The sequence below is a fragment of the Homo sapiens genome, chromosome 17 (assembly GCF_000001405.40).
Source record: "Homo sapiens chromosome 17, GRCh38.p14 Primary Assembly".
Classification (NCBI taxonomy): Eukaryota; Metazoa; Chordata; class Mammalia; order Primates; family Hominidae; genus Homo; species Homo sapiens.
This window is the reverse complement of record NC_000017.11, coordinates 35,590,513-35,611,914: the sequence shown is the minus strand read 5'-3', so window position 1 is coordinate 35,611,914 and position 21,402 is coordinate 35,590,513. Positions and strand designations below refer to the sequence as shown.

The 21,402-nt window shown below is 40.2% G+C and overlaps 1 protein-coding gene and 1 pseudogene across 16 annotated transcripts in view; one reads left to right on the top strand and one right to left on the bottom strand.

Moving 5' to 3' along the window:
• AP2B1 (adaptor related protein complex 2 subunit beta 1) overlaps window positions 1–21,402 on the bottom strand; it is a 139,092-nt gene that overhangs the window by 114,499 nt on the left and 3,191 nt on the right. For 15 of the 16 annotated variants that reach the window (XM_011524450.3, XM_005257938.4, XM_047435509.1 and 12 more), the window contains exons 2-5: window positions 17,848–17,907; window positions 13,580–13,685; window positions 6,075–6,210; window positions 3,528–3,773 (exon numbers count right to left, since the gene is read on the bottom strand). In XM_011524450.3, the coding sequence (XP_011522752.1) occupies window positions 3,528–3,773; window positions 6,075–6,210; window positions 13,580–13,685; window positions 17,848–17,884 (525 nt within the window). In that variant the 5' untranslated portion in view covers window positions 17,885–17,907. Of the gene's footprint in view, window positions 1–3,527; window positions 3,774–6,074; window positions 6,211–10,843; window positions 10,941–13,579; window positions 13,686–17,847; window positions 17,908–21,402 lie in introns of those variants that run through there. The other variant, XM_047435511.1, reaches the window with a different exon arrangement.
• On the top strand, window positions 14,785–15,382 carry LOC100420062 (transmembrane protein 160 pseudogene; annotated as a pseudogene).

Below are 21,402 nucleotides of genomic sequence, written 5' to 3'. Positions count from 1 at the left end.
AAGAACACTATACAGTTTACTATAATATTATGATATACTAAATTCAAATAGAGACCTATTCATGTGCTGCCTGCTTAAATTTTATATAGCTAGGGGATGGGGAAAGAAAATAAGTAAAACAAGATTGGCATGTATTGATGACTAGTGAATCTAGTGATGATAAATGAATTCATTTTATTTATTGTATTCATTTATTTGTCCTAATTTTGAATGTTTGAAGATTCCCACAATAAAAAACACAAATACATAAATAGCATACGTATGCCACCTGATTTTATGGACTAGATGAAAACTAGCTCTCTCCTTTGCAATGTAAACTTTGAATAAATCGGACAAACTAAGCTTGTTCCAGAATCATTTTATTCTTCTCGGTTTATCTGGATAAAGATCTCTAAATGTGCTACTTGAGTGTGTGTGCGCACGTGCGCGCGCGCACACACACACACACACGACTTTACTGCTAAACATCCCTTAGGCCTTATCCCTGACCATCTAACTGTATAGGTTCTGCATTAAAGAATTTACATTAGCATAGAGATGCTGCCTCAAACTGGAGTCGCCTGTAAGTTAGAACTCATTTTCCCTTTGAGCCATTCCATATTCTTAGCACCACTGAATATTTAATAAGTTTCCACGGGGTACATGATATTCTGCCCACCTGGTTGACGGTTGCAGCACAAACACTTTTCATCTCATCTGTCCTCAGGTAGAGAATTATAGATAGTTGCTCAGAATAACAGTGAATCAAAAGCAATGCCAAAAACACAAGTTGGTGCCAGCTAAACATTCTGTAAAGTAGATACTACTAACTTTAGACAATATTTATTTTTCTATATTTTTGAGGAAGGGTCTGTCTTTGTCACTCAGGCTATAATGCAGTGGTGCAATCATAGCTCACTACAGCCTTAAACTCCTGGGCTCAAGGGATTCTCCCACCTCGGCCTCCCAAGTACCTGGAATTACAGGCATGCACCACCACGTCCAACAAAATTTTTTTTTTTTTTTTTGAGACAAGAGTCTCGCTCCGTCACCCAGGCTGGAATGCAGTGGCACGACCTCGGCTCACTGCAAGCTCCGCCTCCTGGGTTCACACCATTCTCCTGCCTCGGCCTCCTGAGTAGCTGGGACGATAGGCGCCTGCCACCACGCCCGGCTAATTTTTTGTATTTTTAGTAGAGACGGGGATTCACCGCGTTAGCCAGGATGGTCCTGATTTCCTGACTTCGTGATCCACCCACCTCGGCCTCCCAAAGTGCTGGGATTACAGGCATGAGCCACTGCACCCGGCCCCACCGAATTTTTTAAAAAAATTTTTGTAGAGACAGGGTCTCAGTTTGTTGCCCAGGCTGGTCTCAAACTCTTGGCTTCAAGTGATCCTTCTGCCTCAGCCTCCCAAAGTGCTAGGATTATAGGCATATGAGCCAACATGCCTAGCCAACTAATTTCTTTATGTAATTTTTAAAAAGGGGGCTGGGTGTGATGGCTCATGCCTGTAATCCCAGCACTTTGGGAGGTCAAGGCAGGTGCATCACCTGAGTCAAGAGTTTGAGACCAGCCTGGCCAACATGGTGCAACGTCGTCTCTACTAAAAATACAAAAATTAGCCGGGCATGGTAGTGGGCACCTGTAATCCCAGTTACTAAGGAGGCTGAGGCAGGAGGAGAATCGCTTGAACCCAGAAGGTAGAGGTTCCAGTGAGCCGAGATCATGCCACTGCACTCCAGACTGGGCGACAGAGTGACACTCCATCTCAAAAAAAAATAAAAAATAAATAAAAGGTACCATATGGTGTTACTTAGGGGAAATAAAAGGCAGGGTTGAATCTTCTAGTACTGGTGGTGATGCTCTGTCAGAAGTCATGGTTAAAGCATCTGCACTTCCACACCCACACCGACGCCCACCCTTATGCCTAGGTTGAAAGATTTCTAATGGTAGTTACTACCATAAAAACCTTAAAAAATTATGACTTGCTTCATCCTGTGGATTTAATACTAATCTTGAAGGATAATAAACAGAAGCCAAGGCTACCTGTAAAATAAAATGAACCAAACAAAATGTCAAAGCAGAGAAGTGAACAGGTAATTTACAAATGAGAGACAGCATCTATGTCCAGCCAAATTCTAATTCTCCATTTAAAGTTCACTAAGAAAATATTCAGGCCAAGCACAGTAATTCACTGAGGAAGGCCAAGGTGGGAGGATTGCTTGAGGCCAGGAATTCATGACCAACCTGGGCAACATAGCAAGACCCCATCTCCATAAAAAATAAGGCTGGGTGCGGTGGCTCACACATGTAATCCCAACACTTTGGGAGGCCATGTCAGGTGGATCACGAGGTCAGGAGATCAAGACCATCCTGGCTAACACGGTGAAGCCCCGTCTCTACTAAAAAATACAAAAAATTAGCCAGGCGTGGTGGCAGGCGCCTGTAGTCCCAGCTACTCAAAAGGCTGAGGCAGGACAATGGCATGAACCTGGAAGGCGGAGCTTGCAGTGAGCTGAGATCACGCCACTGCACTCCAGCCTGGGCGACAAGGCAAGACTCTGTCTCAAAAAAAAAAAAAAAATTAGCGGGATGTGGTGGCATGTGCCTGCAGTCCTAGATGCTCAGGAGGCTGAGGTAGGAGTGCTTGAACCCAGGAGTTCAAAGTTACAGTGAGCTATGACTGCACCACTGCACTCCAGCTTGGCCACAGAGCAAGATCCTATCTGTAAAAAATAAATAAATAGATAGATAAATAATTTTTAAAAGGGAATATTCAAAGGTTATCCACTGATTAACTCTTAGTGTTATGCACCTTTCAGTAAACATTGCATTAGACCAAAAAGGTAGCACTTTAAAGAAAGTGGCTATTTTCCTCCATCTTCCTGGCAACAATATTTAATGACCCATCCAATATATTCAATTAGTACCCAATTCAAATGAGCTTTAGTTATTACTGGAGTCAAACATATCACTTGGGACTTGACCTTCTTCATTATATAAGCAAAGTTTAAAATGTCAATAAGGAAAAGGTCCCAAAACTTTAAGGTGTTAAGCTATGTTCTGGCTGCTAAACATTTACAACATAACCAAGTTGGCTAAAAATAATCTTGCCCTAGAAATTCCCCTATAGAGAAATGCATGATAATAATTAGGTAATAAAGATCATTTTCATTCAGTTTCTAGTCCCACACCACCAGAAAATACCACAAATATTGATCTGAAGAAAATAATCTTAAATATATATAAATTTACGGCCAAACCTCCTGAAGAAAATGATGAAAGTTTTCATCATGGGCAATATGGGCAAATATGAGCATAAGTACAATACAAAGATTTGCTTTAAGATCCCTGCATTTTAGTACTTGGTTCTCACCTCAAAAACACCTAGGATATGAAATATACAATCTGTGAGACACACAAAGTCATGTTTCCCATAGCTACCCCATAACCCAGTATTCCAAAGACAAGGTTCATATTAAACACGCTTTAACAAGGGACTCATTTTAAATACTGCTCTCTTTGTAAAAGCAGAAGCTTATTACCATTGGATTTGAATCTGCTATGAGATCCCGTAGAGAATCCAGAAATCCCTGATCTTCCACCATTTGGGCATTGATATCATGGAGTTTTGCCACGCAGACTGCTGCTGTTTTCCGAACATAGGGATCCTCATCCTTCAAGCACTTGCGGAGCGGCTCACAGAGATATTCTGTAATTTTGTCTACCCGGATGCACCCCATGGTTCTGACTGCCAAGGCTCGAATCAAAGGATTAGGATCTTCACAGTCCTGCAGAAAACAATCACCAACAACTGTAGGTATACATGGTGGCTAAAAGTAAACAGTCCAGTTTATGTAAGCTGCAAAAGAATTACCTCATTAATTTAAGCTTCCAGATACATTCTACATGAGCTCCAATCTTCCATGCTATTCCTTTCCTAAGTACAAATCTTAGCTGCCCTATTTAAGAGTTTAGGTGAAGAAGTCATTTAACTGTTTTAAATACAAAATGAGAAACAGCTCAGCAGGATTCACTCTAGTGCCAGGCAGAGGTTTAGGGAGTTCGTACCATCCCACAGCCATTAGGATCTACCCTAAAAACAGGAAAAGCTTTTGGGCTTGTATTCCGGCACAGGAAAAAAAAAAAAAAAAAAAAGAGGAGCTGTAAAGACCGTGCCCTACTCCACAGTGAGTTCCTAAACATCAAATAGAAAAGAGAGCTAGATTTCTGTGGCCTGCAGCCAAGAAAACAAAGGGGAGCACAGGAGCTGGTCTGGGCTTGAAATAAGTACCTGGAGTTAAGCAGCAGAGAAGGCCCTCTGAGCTCTTGGCTAACATACATTCTCTTTTACTAGCAAGTGCTTCCAAATATAGTAAATAGAATATGGAGAAAGAACACTCTTTTAAACTGCCTTACACTAAAAAAATGTCTTTAAGCCCATGTAAATCTATGCACAACTCTAACTTCCAAAAAATGTAAACTAAATTCTTCCCAATGATATATTCCCTCTATGAACCACCAGTCATGGAGAACAAACTGTTACGTTCTGACTCTATAATGTAGCTAAACACAGGAAAAGAACAAAAAGTTCATGAGAAAGAAGAAAGCATATTGCTTATTTTTCAAAACATTTTAAATAGAAGCTAATTTTAGAAATGCTGTCTGTTTTTTTTAAATGTACACTAAGTTCCAAACAGAGAAAAAACAACTATTAAAAAAATATTAGGCTGGACATGGTGGCTCACGCCTGTAATCCCAGCACTTTGAGAGGCCAAGGTGGGCGGATCACCTGAGGTCAGGAGTTCGAGACCAGCCTGGCCAATATGGTGAAACCCCATCTCTACTAAATATACAAAATTAGCCAGGTGTGGTGGTGCATGCCTGTAATCCCAGCTACTCGGGAGGATGAGGCAGGAGAATCACTTGAGCCCGGGAGGCGGAGGTTGTGGTGAGCTGAGATTGCGCCATTGCACTCCAGCCCGGGCAACAAGAGTGAAATTCTGTCACCAAAAAAAAAAAAAAATTAATGGGAATGATCCCATTATTATTTTCTTTAAATCTATGATAGGAAAGATTTGACTGGATATTCAATAATAAGAAAATATTTTGTCCATTTTTAAAGACATGATGATATTGTGGTTATGTTTAAATAAAAGATCTTATCTTGACAAATATAAAGACAAAACTATTTAATATATGATGTTCAGGATTTCTTTAAAATTATCCAGCAGGAGAGGGGGTTGGAGGTCAGAAAATATGTATGAGGATTACAAACAAGAGTGGTTATGTGTCGGTAACTGTTAAAACTGCAAGACGGATATTTAGGAATTTATTATACTAGTCCTTTTTCTTGAATATGTTTAAAATTTTCCATTAAAAAAAATTAATCACGCCGGGAGTGGTGGCTTGTGTCCGTAACCCCAGCACTTTGTGAGGCTGAGGTGGGTGGATCACTTGAAGTTAGGAGCACGAGATCAGCCTGACCAACATGGTGAAACCCTGTCTCTACTAAAAATACAAAAATAAGCTGGGCATGGTGACGGTCACCTGTAATCCCAGCTACTTGGGAGACTGAGGCAGGAGAATCACTTGAACCTGGGAGGCAGAGGTTGCAGTGAGCCAAGATCGTGCCACTGCACTCCAGCCTCGGTGACAGAGTGAGACTCTGTATCAAAAAAAAAAAAAAATTAATCAAATGATGTAAGACGTATTAAATGAAATGAAAGTAGAAACTCCGGCAGTCTCCACTACTGCTGACTCATAAGTATAATTTCTACAAAGATAAAATAGGTAAAGCCCCCAATTACTGATAGTACAATGATATGCCCACCTTTGTCAGCCTCAGAAGGTAAAACAGTGGGGTTTCACCAGGTTTTCTTCTACCCATCTGGCAAGGATGCACCAAGCCCCACTAACAGAAAGCTCAGCACATGGTTTGAATTTCCCTGGATGACACACACTGGTATACAGAATGCTTAAAACATGAACATTCCTAGTCATTGCCAACACTTCCCTACACTCCTTCCTTGTGAACAGAGGTTACTTATTTGCAATTCAAACTCTGTTATTGAGGCCTTGGGAAAAGTTACCTTCACAAAGCTGTTTACAGCCATGATGGCCATGTCTGGCTGACTCTTGGCGTAGTTCATCAAGTAGAGATACACAAGCTTCTTTAGTTCCAGATTGTCAGTCTGCATACAGTTCACTACGTCTGGAAAGAGAGAACTGAGAAGAGAGGGTAAAAGAGAAAAGGAAAGTAAGCAGGTGTTGGTGCCAAGCTGTTGGACAGAACATGAATAGCCTTAACTAACAGTGATTTGATGCAAGAACAAATGTCCCCACAGTGGTAACTGTCACAGAAATGAATTACTAAAGAAACTGGCTGGGCACGGTGGCTCACGCCTATAATCCCAGCACTCTGGGAGGCCAAGGCAGGCGGATCACCTGAGGTCGGGAGTTTGAGACTAGCCTGACCAACATGGAGAAACCCCGTCTCTACTAAAAATACAAAAAATTAGCCAGGCATGGTGGTGCATGTCTGTAATCCCAGCTACTCAGGAGGCTGAGACAGGAGAATCGTTTGAACCTGGGAGGCAGAGTTTGCGGTGAGCTGAGATCACACCATTGCACTCCAGCCTGGGCAACAAGAGCGAGACTCCTGTGTCTAAAAAAAAAAGGAAAAAAAAAAAGAAAAGAAAAGAGAAAAGAAAAGAAAAGAAACTGTAGGCCAGACATGGTGGCTCAGGTATGCAATCTCAGAACTTTGGGAGGCTGGGGTGTAAGGATTCACTTGAGACCAGGTGTTCAAGGCCAGCCTGGACAACATGGCGAGATCCTCTCTACAAAAATTTGTTTTAAAAAGCTAGGTGTGGTGGTGCACACCTGTAGTCTTAGCTACTCAGAAGGCTGAAGCAGGAGGTCGAGACTGCAGTGAGCCATGATCACGTCACTGCACTCTAGCCTGGATGACAGAGTGAGACCTTGTCCCCATCCAAAAAAAACAAGAAAAAAATTGTAGTGCTGTTCTCAACAAGGTCTCTATAGTTTTAGAAAAAGCTTTTTATTATGAAAAAATGTTAATCCTAGTGCTGGGATTACATGCATAAGCCACTGTGCCCAGCTTCATCTATAATATTTTAATGTGTATCTTAAGAATCCTTTTTTTTCTTTTTGAGACAGAGTCTCACTCTGTCGCCCAGGCTGGAGTTCAGTGGCACCATCTTTGCTTCCTGCAACCACTGCCTCCCCAGTTCAAGCAATTCTAATGTGTCAGCCTCCTAAGTAGCTGAGATTACAGGCGTGCGCCACCACTCCCGGCTAATTTTTATATTTTTAGTAGAGATGGGGTTTCACCATGTTAGCCAGGCTAGTCCCGAACTCCTGACCTCAGGTGATCCACCTGCCTTGGCCTCCCAAAGTTCTGGGATTACAGATGTGAGCCACCACGCACAGGCAAGTGTCTTTTTTTTTTTCCACTACCTTTATCACATTCAAAAAAACACACAAAAACAAAAACAAAAAAGCCAGGCCCAGTGGCTCACGTCTGTAATCCAAGCACTTTGCGAGGCCATGGTGGGAGGACTGCTTGAGCCTAGGAGTGTGAGACCAGCCTGGGCAACATAGTGAGACCTCGTCTCTATAAATAATTTTAAAAATTAGCCAGGCATGGTGGTGTGCGCCTGTGGTCCCAGCTACTCAGGAAGCTGAGGTGGGAGGATCACTTGAGCCTGGGATGCGGAGGCTGCAGTGAGCCACGAACATGCCACTGCACACCAGCCTGAGGAACAGAGAGAGACCCCATCTCAAAAATAAAAATAAAAAATAACAATAATTATTTTAAAATATTTATTTTATGTACAAAAAGCTAACATGGTTTCTCTCATTGGGTGGGTGCCTTAGATAATCCATTCGTGGAAGATCACTTAGTCCAACTTAATGAAATCTATATCCTTCACGTATGATGGAAACACTGGTGGCATGTAACGAGGCTCAATTTCCAGATCAGACTGTGCCCAGTTTCAGCAGACACAATAGCAAGAACCCTGGCTGACTTTTCGCGGGTGGCTCCAGTAGAGCTGCTGGTGAATCATCTTGCTTTCAGGAGTGCGACAGGGCAAAAGGAACAATAATTCTTCATATCCATCTACTACAGTTTCAAAGCACTTCAGTTACGCTTTTTAAAGTTCATATTCTTCCAGTCTTGACCAGTGGGAACTGAGCTCCTGAATCCTTGTGATATGACCTGGTATTTTCCATACTTTCCTTTATGACAAGATGCCCCATCCAGGCTCATTTTGTACATTTCTAATTCCAGACCTAGAATCAGTCATCCTCCAAGATGTCCTGATTCCCTTTTAGTGAAATTATTTTTTTAACATTACATATTCAGACAAATGAAAATTTGAGAGTAATCAAATATAAAAGGAGTTTATACCTTTCCTAAGTTCTAGTTATTTCATGATTTACCATTCTCCTATAAGCCACAGGAAACAAATTTAAAGGAGCACCATTAGCTTGGAAGGGTTGAGCTTGTCAGATTCTAAAGTGTAAGCTGTATCTTTACAATATAGGATAACTGTAACTTTATGGGAAGTTAGCAATAAATCTTCCCCACAATGCTTTATCAAAGTACCTTATACATTTTTAATACTGCTAAACATCTTGCTACTAGCATAGAAGAAAGAAAAAACAAATGTAGGTGTATTTCCACAAGGAAAATAAGGGGAAAAAAGGGAATGAAATAGCTGGTCACAGGGTATATACAATGGTCCTATATACACAAAAGGGTACAGAAGTAGAAATTATTCACAGAAAGGAAGCTGGACTCAGGTCAAAGAATCCACCATATCTCCAGTGAACCAGTAACTTCTGTCCTGGAAAGCAAACTATGTGTTTCACTTGTATGCATGGTACCTACGGTAGTTTCATGCACCTGTAGATATTTAGTAAATACTCTCCAAAAATGTGTTTTCTATTTCCTAGACTAGCTCATGCACAAAACAACGATAACCAGTAAATGTTAAACATTAACCAATAATAAATTCAAGATCCTAAATAGTTTAATTCTAGCAATCTACACAAGGTCAAGAAGACTTAATAGCCAAAGATCAAGCAAGAAGTAAAAAGTGTTAAGTGCCAACCTATAAACTAGAAACCTGAACTTTCCAATATGGTGGCCACTAGTCACATGTGACTACTAAACACAATGTGGCGAGTGTGAACTGAGATGTGATGTAAATGTGAAACACACACTGGATTTTGAAGACTTAGCATGAAAAATATAATGTAAAATATCTCATTAATAATTTTTATGTTGATTACATACTGAAAGGATATTTTAGATATACTGGGTCAAATAAAATGTATTACTAAAATTAATTCATCTGTTCCTTTTCATTTTTTCAAAATGGCTATTAGAAAATTTAAAATTACATATGTGGTTCACACTGTATTTCCACTGGCCAGTGCTGCACTTGAGGTTACTTGCAGGAAAGGCTGAAATATCACAATCTACAAATAGCTAATCTCCATTTTATTTCTTTGCACTATCTTTCTAAGTACAGCTCATATTTCATCTCCAAGAAGGGTTCTTCAACTATTCCTGTTAACCTGTATCTCTCTTTGGTAGAACTCGTATTGCCTTTAAAATATACACTTCAGTGCCTAATTACATAAGTATATTTTATTTTTCCCTAATTTTTCAAGTTTTGGGTTTCATCAACTAGACAGTAAAAATCATGAAGGCAAACAGACATCCACTAGCCTTTTGTTTGAATAATGATAAGTGGTATAGTGCTAAGTACATAATAAAGTATCAGCAATAGCAAGCATATAAAAAAAAATCAAGAGTTTTAACTTTTCTGCAGGATACAGAAATAAGCTTGGCAAAACCACAACAGCCCCTGTAGAGTTATGACAATTTTTCGGGAGTTTGAGACCAGCCTGACCAACATGCAGAAACCCCATCTCTACTAAAAATACAAAATTAGCCGGGCGTGGTGGCACATGCCTGTAATCCCAGCTACTCGGGAGACAGAGGCAGGATAATCACTTGAACCCGGGAGTCGGGGGTTGCAGTGAGCCAAGATCACGCCATTGCGCTGCAGCCTGGGCAACAAGAGCAAAACTCGGTCTCAAAAAAAAAAAAAAAAGAGTTATGACAATTTTTACCAATTCGTTTGTACTGATGTTTTCAATCCAGATTTATTCTTTGGCAAAAACAGCCCTTCAGTGACTAGACAGATCACAGATAGGCAACTACCGCCTGTGGGTTAAATCTAGCCCAATGCTGGATTTTTGTACAATCCATGAGCTAAAAGTGGTTTTTATAGATGAACTAAGTGTTCATCTATATGAATCTTGGCCGGGCATGGTGGCTCATGCCTGTAATCCCAACACTTCGGGGGGCCAAGGCAGGCGGATCACTTGGCGTCAGCCAGGAGTGATGGCAGGTGCATATACAGTACCAGCTACTCAGGAGGCTGAGGCAGGAGAATCCCTTGAACCCGGGAGGCAGAGGCTGCAGTGGGCCGAGATTGCGCCACTGCACTCCAGCCTGAGTGATGGAGCAAGACTCCATCTCAAAACAATAAATAAATAAAACAAATCTGATGATGAAAAATACTATGAATCCTAATTACGCAAAATGTTATCATCCCCCAAAAAGAATCCCACTTAATAGTATACCTGTGGTACAAAACATTATACTTAACTATTATTTTATTTTGAATATCCTCAATAAAAAATTTGTGGAAATTTGTCTTCTCTCTTGTTATGTAAGTACCTACCTACCAAACTCAATTTTGCCTCTTTGCCTGCTAAGCAAAGAGTACTTACTATGCCAGCCTGATGTACTTACTATTTTGTCCTTTACAAAAACGTTTGCCAACTCCTTAGATAGATGGTCACAGGACAGCAATTTAAAAACCAAATGTGCTTTATGTGCTAACAAACAAAAGAAAAATAACAAAAATTCACCTCAGAAGAGCAGCACCTGGAGCAAGAGAAGATACAGAGTCATTTCCTACGCTGCCATTTCTATCTGGGCTCCCCGTCTGGTTAGGGAAGCAGCCCTCACCTTTTTGGTCTCGGGATCCCTTCATACTCTTAAAAATTACTGACATCCCAAAGAGTTTTTGTTCATGTGGGTTATATACCTATTGATATTTTACCATGTCAGGAATTAAAACTGAGAAATTTTTAAAAAGTTAATCCATTAAAATAAGAATAAACCCATTTCATAACATTTTAAAGGTAAAATGTACTGTTTTTAAATTAATGAGATGGTGACACTGCTTTTTTATTTTTTTGCAACTCTCTTTAATATCTACTTGAAATAAAAACAGCTAGATTCTCATAAGTTCCTGCATTCAACCTTTTGTAGAATGTTGTTTTGAAATATAAGAAGAAAATCCAGCTTCATACACGTATATAACTCGGAAAAGGAAATAATATTTTAATAGCTTTTTCATATAACTACATATTCCTTATTTTCTTTTTTTTTTTGTTATAACTAGAAATTCTTGATGTTACACTAAAACTAGACAGCCCGGGAACAGTGGCTCATGCCTGTAATCCCAGCAGTTTTGTGAGGCCAAGGCAGGTAGATCATTTGAGGTCAGGAGTTCGAGACCAGCCTGGCCAACATGGTGAAACCCCGTCTCTACTAAAAATACAAAAATTAGCCGGGTGGTAGTGGTGCACGCCTGTAATCCCAGCTACTTGGGAGGCTGAGGCAGGAGAACCGCTTGAGCCTGGGAGGCGGAGGTTGCAGTGAGCCAAGATAACGTCACTACACTCCAGTATGGGTGACAGAGTAAGACTCTGTCTCAAAAAAAATAATGATAAATAAATAAAACTAGACAAATGGTTGTTTTCCTCTTTCTGAGTCCACACACTGTAGTTTCTTAAAAGTTAGTTGCAATATAGAATCTGAAGCCGTATCGATAAACTTTTTGTACTTGATTGTATTAAAATCCATTCATTTACATTCTATTTTGTTTTTTTGTTTTTTGATTTTTGAGACAGAGTCTTACTCTGTTGCCTAAGCTGGAGTGCAGTGGCACAATCCTGGCTCACTGCAACCTCCGCCTCCTGAGTTCAAGCAATTCTACTGCCTCAGCCTCTAGAGTAGCTGGGATTACAGGCACATGCCACCATGCCCGGCTAATTTTTTTGTATTTTTTTTTAGTAGAGACAGAATTTCACCATGTTGGCTAGCCTAGTCTCGAACTCCTGCCCTCAAGTGATCCGCCTGCCTCGGCCTCCCAAAATACTGGGATCACAACCGTGAGCCACCACGCCTGGCCTCCACACTTTATTTCGAATAGATCTTTTATCCATGCATAATTTTGTGATATACATATGCTCTGGTCATTTGGAAAAATATTGGTTCACTGAGCTATGCTGACACATTTCATTATAAAACAGCAAATAATCACAATCATTAATTTCACCACCAATCTCCTCAGAAAAGTCTTTAAGCATTAGGAAGCTGTCAAGCTTATGATGGGAGATACAAATTTTCCAAAATTCTAATTTTTTACTTTAAAACCTGAAACGTATCCATTGTCAATTTTTTTCCCTTGAAGTGACAGGTTCACTTTGTTCATTTTTGAATAAAATATCTCCCAAATACCAAAGTCTGATTAAATATAGTTTGTCTGTCAATCATTCTTTCACATAAAAATGGTGTTTGCAGTTCAAACAACTGCACAAGGGTTTTTTCTCAAGTCGACCATTGCACTGCTACGCAGCAGAAGAGATTTATGGGTAATCCCTATTTCATCAAACACAATATTAAAAAGGTTCAAGTTTTAATAAAACAAATTTTTACTGCTCATGAAGGACATTCCTAAGTGAAACTGCTCTTTTTTAGCACATGGTGTTAAGGAATACAATGACTACCATTATGGTTGGCACCACTGCCTTCATTCATGCTGAGGCACCAGCAGTTTTACCCACCACTGCTTTGCACCATCACTGTAAACATCCAAATAGTGAAAAAGGCAAGTAACATCTAAGTATTATTATGAAAACAGCTTTGACCTCACGGACCCCCCGAAAGGGTCTTAGGATAATCCTTAGGGGCCTGCATATAGTCCTTACTTATTTCCAAATGGTCTTAATTACAGAAATAAAAAATAAGACTACATGGATTTGGTTAACATTGATTTTCATCTTGAATCCAGCAATTGAATGTACAGTTGTAAAGTTGAGGGCAGTGGCTTGAGCCAGTTAAAGATCATGTGAACTTATGCTTCTCAGTGTATTTTTATCATCTTCTAAAACGACCTCAGCAAAAAGATTTGTAACTGTGCCAGCTCTCAGGAGGTGTTATGCTAGATCTGAATGCAATGAAATCAAACTCGTTTCACTGTTCTAACACAAACACACACACACCCCATAACAAACAAACAAACAAAAAGTAGAGCATTAATACAAAGGCAACTGCACTTCCTAATGATGTTTTTAGTGGGACAAACCCATTCTTAGAGGTTCTATGATTATGATACTTTTAAAGGAAAAGCAGTAAAGGCCATAAGATGGGGTATGGACCTCTGAAGTGATCAATGGCAAGGGTGATTACTCTTACCTAACATCCTTCCCCACGGTCATAGCAGCAATCACTTTCTTCACAGCCTCCTTTCTCTTTTCTTTCTTTTCATTGTTGAGTTCAGCTTTTAGTTCAAATATTTCTCCTGCAAGAGATGAGAGCAAACTGGTAAGGTTCCAGTACCACAGACTTAGAGCAGAATACTACACTATGTAATAACCAATACCAGGATAGCAGGGCAGCAACTAAAATAAGATTTTAAAATTATAGAATATATAAAATTCAAAGCCCTAGAATATTACCTGACTCACTGACAAGGAAGCCATCAGTAAGTTTTAAAAATCTTTTAAATTATGGCCAGAGAGGAAGGTGCAATCCAGATCTTCAAGAACCACAAGAGTGGGAAAAACCAAATCTCATTATATCTAGCTACAATGGGGAGAGAACAGTATATGAAGGATGATCTTCCATCAGAATGTTAAAGTCTGGAGGAGAACATAAACGTAGGTAGGGAGCAGGCGCGTATTACCTCATTTACCCACGCTCGGCTTTACAGATTAAGAAATGAGGCTCAAAGTTCACAGAGTCAGTGACAAAGTTGGGCTTAGCACTGTGTCTCCTGACTCTTGAATGCAAAGGTTCTCAGCCCTGGCCACACACTAATATTACCTGAGAAATACTAAATATAGCAAAGTACAGGCTCCACTCTGGGCCAAATAAATCATAATGTCAAAGAGAACTCATATTTATACCTTTAAGAGCTCCACCAAGTGACTCTAACGCACACCCAATGTTGAGAATCACTACTTTAATCAGTACTTTAATAAATCAGTGGGCTTTAAGGCCCTTGCTATTCAATCAAACAAGAATAATCTTGAAACCAAGAATGGTACACAATGGAGTCATTTCCAAAGGTACAATCTTGAATGACTGCTTAGGCTCCGCACTGTAAACTGTCAGGGACTGTAACCACTATTTTAAGGCCTGGTCTCCAGGCTCACCTATCTGCAAGAAGCCGGAACCAAAATAAAAAAGAAAGTAACAACCCTAATATTGTTTAAAAGAAACGGAAAAAAAACACTAAGTCCATGAAAAAGAGGTTGACTACTCCCATCTCAACTTTCCATCTACATCCTCCAGCTCATCTACCATACTGCCTCAAAAGACTTTCCTCCACCTTCAAGACTGTTCCTGTCGTTCCTTTCAACCAGATCTCATTTACCAGCATAGAAACAGTGGGGACAGTCTCCGCTTCCGGAGGTCGCTACTGCTGCCTCAGTGGCCCCGGAGCGGGGGCGCCCAGGGGTCCTTCGCCCCCGGCCACGGCCCCCACAACGGGGCTTCGCCGCCACCTGTGTCCGAGCTGGACCGTGCAGGCGCCAGGCTCCTCTCCGAAAGGCGCACGAGACAGCTTTCTTCTCCTGGTTCCACAATGGCCTCCTGGCATAGGGCATCGGGGTTATCTCCTTCATGCAGAGTGACATGGATCACGAAGCAGCATATGGCTTCTTCCTGCTGGGCGGCCTGTGTGCGGTGTGGGGCAGCGCCTGCGGGGCCTGGCAGCGCTGCGGGGGCCCATGCAGCTGACGCTAGGGGGCGCAGCTGCGGGCGCTGTACTCGCCACCAGCCCGCTCTGGGTGTGCGCCGCCGTGGGCTTCTACACCGGGCAGCTGGAGCTGGACGTGAAGCTGGTGCTCGAGGGCGACGGGGCGGCCTCCGCGGAAGGCCCTGATGAGGCAGGCTGGCCGCCACCCGAGTGAGCGACATGGCCGCCGGGCCTGGCAGGCGCGGGATGACGGCGCCCGAGGACTGGGACATTAAAACCTGACCTCCCCTCCTCCAAAAAAAAAAAAAAGAAAGAAATAGTGGGGACAAACACTACGTGATTTGCCTGAAACCATTATGTGGAAAGGATGAAATTAGTAAGACACAGAAGTAGAGCACTTTTTCGTTTCAATATCCATGGCCAATAAGGCAAAAAAATTGTTCCAAAATTTCTATTTAATCAACAGCTACAAAAGTAGCATAGCAAGAAAAGCTGGGCCCTTTAAAGAGTCATTCTTCATAGGACTCTTCACCATGTCCCATCCTGCCAAATCCAGCTCTTAGAGTTCCTCTCATTCACTTCCGGGAACAGTGAAGGACAAACGGCGGGGTTTCAGAAAGTCTGAATTGTGAACAGCAGCAGGTGTTATAGAATCAAAGCAGGATGTAACAGAAATTATTCCAATTCCAAAAGCATAAATTTAAAGAATATGTTTCAGTGGCAGTTCTGGTGGGTGTTGCAGGAAGTACAGGGAACACAATCTATCAATTTTTTTTAAGTATGATGTTTATTAGCAGTGATTCAATCTGCAGTCTCAAACTTTTACAAATGCCTGAATTAAAAAAAGGTCACCAGGACACTTTTCAAGAGTAGGTTTGAAGAATTAGGAGAGTTTTAAAATTATAACTATTTAATTGTAATTGTATCCCTTTATATAATTATAGACATTTTGTTCGTCAAAGCACACAAAATGCTAACAGAAGAAGAAATAAACATATTTCCAAAAGAAAATCAGAAAAAGCTGAGACTGAATGACAAGTGGCTAATGGCTTTTGTGAGGTGTAAGTAATAAAAATAAGGAGGAAAAAGTTGGGCAGGACCAAAGAGGGGTACTAAAAGAGGCAAAGTCATATATTCTACAACTTTATTAAATTCCTATATTTTCTCCCTCCTCCTCCCCCCAATCAAATCTACCAAGCACTGTTAGCAGCTAGCAGTAGTTCTCAATCATGGCTGCACATTAAAATAATCTGGGGAGCTTTCTTTTTAATTTTTTTCTTTTGAGACAGGGTCTCTCTCTGTTGCCTAGGCTGGGGTACAGCGGCACAATCACGACTCACTGCAGCCTCAACCTCCTGCACTCAAGTGATCCTCCCACCTCAGCCTCCCAAATAGCTGGGACTACAGGTGTGCACCACCGTACAGGGCTAATTTTTAAATTTTTTTTCATAGAGATAGGGTCTTACCATGTTGCCCAGGCTGGTCTCAAACTCCTGCACTCAAACAATCCTCCTGTCTCAGCCTCCCAATGTGCTGGGATTACAGGCATAAGCCACCATGCCTGGCCACCTGGAGAACCTTTAAAATCCTCACACCCAGACCATATCCAGGACAACTGAAATCAGGCTGAGGTTGAGACCCAGGCATCAGTATTATTTCAAAGTTCCCTGGCTGAGCAATTCTGATGTGTTGCCAAGACTGAAAGCTACAGACAACAAACTGACATAATTAAGCAACTCACTGCAACAAGAGAAAAAGAAGAATGGTAGTTGGCGCCATGTCTGGAATACTTTGGTAAATGTAAGGACTCCTGAACACAAAAGCACAGAATTCTGATCCTAAGCAACAAATAAAGCAAGCTAAGCTACAGGCACAATAAGCTGAGATGGGCTAAAATGTTTGTCTTTGATGGGAAGACCCTCCACATTTCTAGAAATGATCTATTTTATTTAGGAACAATTTTACAAAAGATGAAGGGTTGGACTTTCCCCAGAAGAATCCTTTGTTCCTAGACCCAAACTCATAGGTAAAAACAAGCATTATATTACTGATAACAAAGATGATGAGAGTAATAAGTGCAAAGTCCCTCAAGTAATTCCGTCTATGACCTAAAAACCATAGATGGCTCTAGAGATTCCGTTTTAAATATACATCTAGACGAAGAACATGGTAGATGTATATGGACGGATATGAAAATAACTCATTTCTATTCATTGTTTTGCAAGATTGCTTTTTCATTAAAGATAAAAAAATTTTAAATCATATGTATTAATATATGCACTCATATGCAGAGAAAAAGACTTGAGGATATACACCAAGTTCCCTTGGGAATAGGAACAGGAAGGGAGAACTTTCATTTTTACCTTTTACATACATATCTGTATTGCTTTAATTGTATTCTTTGTTATAAAATGTTTATTTCCAAGTAAAAATTATTTAATAAAAGGGAAAAAGTATGCTGCTTCTTTTGTCCTCCTCACACTTAACCAATCTCCAATGGATCATCTCAAACAGCAAAGAGGAGTCTCTTTCACTAAACAGAACCTTCAAGTCATAATAATGTGCATCACAGCCCTCTCTTTTAAAACCTACTCTTTAATAACTTGCTTGAATACATTCATCTATAGAAGTAGTAGATGTCCAGTGAGATTGTCAGCTACATGTATGTCTGAAGGAAGAGGTCAGCAGCATTCTGCCTGGGGCAATCTTACACTACAACTTTTGAAAATTTCAAAAGATTTGATTGTATTCTCATACTTACCTTTTTTATTGGTTGTGAAATACTTGGAGTCAGTCATGACTTTGGATCTTTAATGTGCACCTATAGCAAGAGAAAAGAATTCCTTCATTCAGGTTATAGATATCCAACAAGGCATCCAATTAATTTTAAGAACATCCAATTAATTTTAGGAACACTTATATTTAAGAATTTCTAAAAATGAGTATCATCTTCCTTTATCACCACCGTTGATGGTTCAAGAAAAACTAAGAATGTAACTCCTCAAGCTAATGGGGCAAAAATCTAAAGGCCAAATGCAACTGGGTAAAAGTATGAACCTATTATGGCTTTGTGATTTTATCCACAGTAACTCCTCAAAGCTTTCAAGAGCTAAAGCTGGACCTTTTTATAAATATATCTGCAATTACTTTCCATTCAGGAAAATCTGGTAACTTCCTTGCCTCAAGCTGGAATCACTCCAAAACATATATTCTGAAGCAGTGTAAGGTCAAAAGAAAAAACAATTTTGCCGATCTATGACATGAAACTTTCAATAAAAAGAATCTCTTTCAGAAAAAAAAAATTCAAAATTAGTAGGACAATATTCTTTCACAACAAACATCTAGAGAGGCAACCATGACTTATGCATGGAATTTTTTTAATTTTTAGTTTTGTGGGTATTTAGTAGGTGCGTATAGGTACATGAGATATTTTGATAACAGGCAGACAATGCATAATAATTACATTAGTGTAAATGGGATATCCATCACCTCAAGCATTTATCCTTTCTTTGTATTATAAACAATTCAATTACATTCTTTTAGTTATTTTTAAATGTACAGTAAATTATTGTTGACCGCAGTCACCCTTTTGTGCTATCAAATACTAGATCTTATTCATTGTATCTAACTATATTTTTGGATTTAAAAAAAAATGTGGCTTTCTTACTTCCAACAATCCAGATTTAGCCCAAGAGTATTCCCAAATAATGCCAGTTTATAGTTAAAAACAAGGCAAAAGACTGAGACATCCGTTCAGACACGAGAATCAAACTGGTGTTGAAACAAAAGAACGTGGATCTCAACCTCAACCTTAACTCTTCCATCCCAATTTCCAGAAGAAGTAATCCAGATGACAAATGGCTCTACTAACAAAAACGGCACAGTCTGGTCACATTTTTACTAAATAATAAGACTACTTTTTCTGATTTGAGAAACTATAAGACTTTGTCCAATGTACCAGACTTCTTTAAATATATTAAAATTTTGGGGCCAGGCACAGTAGCTCACGCCTGTAATCCCAGCACTTTGTGAGGCTGCCGGGTGGATCACTTGAGGTCAGGAGTTCAAGACCAGCCTCGCCAACATGGTGAAATCCTGTCTCTGCTAAAAATACAAAATTTAGCTGGGCATGGTGGCACGTGCCTTTAATCCCAGCTACTTGGGAGGCTGAGGCAGGAGAATCGCTTGGACCTGGGAGGCGGAAGCTGCAGTAAGCCGAGATCACGCCACTGCACTCCAGCCTGGGCAACAGAGCAAAAGTCCATCTCAAATAAATAAATAAATAAATAGGAATTTGGGCCAGGCGCGGTGGCTCAGGCATGGTGGCATGTACCTGTAGTCTCAGCTACTTGGGAGGCTGAGGTGTGTGGATCGCTTGAGCTTAGGAGATCAAGGCTACAGGGAGCTATGATCTCACCACTGCACTCCAGCCTCAGCGACAGAGACCTTGTCTCAAGGGGAAAAAAATATATAAATATACATATATTTTTTAATAATATTCCTTCTGTACTCAAAATGAGTATCTTTTTCCTTATCACCATCACTAATAATACTTATCACCAACTTCAGGACAAGACATGCTGGCACCTGCTCATTATTATCAGGTCAATATGACATAATGTATTTGGCAAACAATAGTAAATATGGATCTAGGAGAAAAGACCTAAGCACCAAACAAATCAATGTAATTAAAGAAAAGAAAAAAGAGCCAGATAAACATAAAATAATGAAAAACTTCTGGTTCAAATCTGATCTCTAAAACGTGCTACTTGTACAGTTTAATGGAAATTAGACTCATTTGCTATCTTTCCAACCAGCTAATTACTATTTATAGTCTTGATCCTAATAGCTCTTTAGATTGTACCAGAAATTCACAGAATGATCTTGTTAAAAGAAGTGAGCTAGGACTCACAAATATCATTACAGAATATAGAAATTTCTCCTTTAATACTTGTTATAATTAAAAATTATACTGAAGCTTGCCTTATGCAATGTTTTTACAATGTGTTTCTAGCAAAAATTCAAAGAATGTTATAATCATTTAGTCCATTCATAATGTAAACTAAATGTGAAGTGGGCAAATGAAGAAAGGAATTCTTCACATAAAAGACCTGGAATAAATCTGAAGTTATTTATGAATGTATATATACAAACAGAAAAACCAGTAAACAGAAACGATTACTTGAGCCTCAAAGAAGGACTATAGCTCAAATCCATTACAATCTGTCTAGGATATTTACTATGCTATGCTATGTCCTTTAAAACTTGTTTAAGATTTTAAAACAAAACCTCCTTAGAATTTGTCACCCAATTTCTCTGAAAAGCCTCTTATACATACACATATTAAATTTTTTTTGGCCAGGCACGGTGGCTCACGCCTGTAATCCCAACACTTTGGGAGGACGAGGCGTGCGGATGGCTTGAGCTCAGGAGATCGAGACCAGTCTGGGGAACGTGGCGAAACTCCGTCTCTAATAAAAATACAAAAATTAGCCGGGCATGGTAGCACATGCCTGTAGTCCCAGCTGGGACTCACTGCAACATCTGCCTTCTGGGCTCAAGCAATCCTCCTGCCTCAGCCTCCCGAGTAGCTGGGACTACATGTTGGGATCACCGTGCCCAGCCCATTAAATTCTTTTTTTTTTTTTTTTTTTTTTGAGACAAAATCTCACTGTGGCCCAGGCTCCAGTGCAGTGGTTCAATTTGGGCTCACTCCAACCTTTGCCTCCCAGGTTCAAGTGATTCTCCTGCCTTAGCCTTCAGAGTAGCTGGGACTACAGGCACCCACTACCACGCCCAGCTAATTTTTGTATTTTAGTAGAGACAGGGTTTTTCCTTGTTAGCCAGGCTGGTCTGGAACTCCTGACATCAAGTTATCCATCCACCTCGGCCTCCCAAAGTGCTGGGATTACAGGCATGAGTAAATTCTTAACAGGCATTTTCACTACATTCTATTAAACAATAAATTAACCTAAGTCTTAAGTCATACCTTTATCAGTAGCTCACATATTTCATTATCTCCCCTAACAATTTCAATGTCAAGGAATATATTACTATCCTGTTCACTGTGAGCATTAAGTGTTCTTGTCTTAACTAGAAAATAATGCACCCACCCACAAAATTTCAGGGAAGAGAGGAGGGTCAAGTATCTTTAGAAGCCTATAAGATAGATTCTAAATTAAGAGTCCCTGCTGCTCTAAAGAGAAGGGATATCACTCTAGTAACCATATTGTAAACAATAGTAACAAAATATTCCCTAACCATATTGGCAGAGAAACATGGTGCCAAGCTGGTTCTTGCCTTAAGCCAAAAGAAA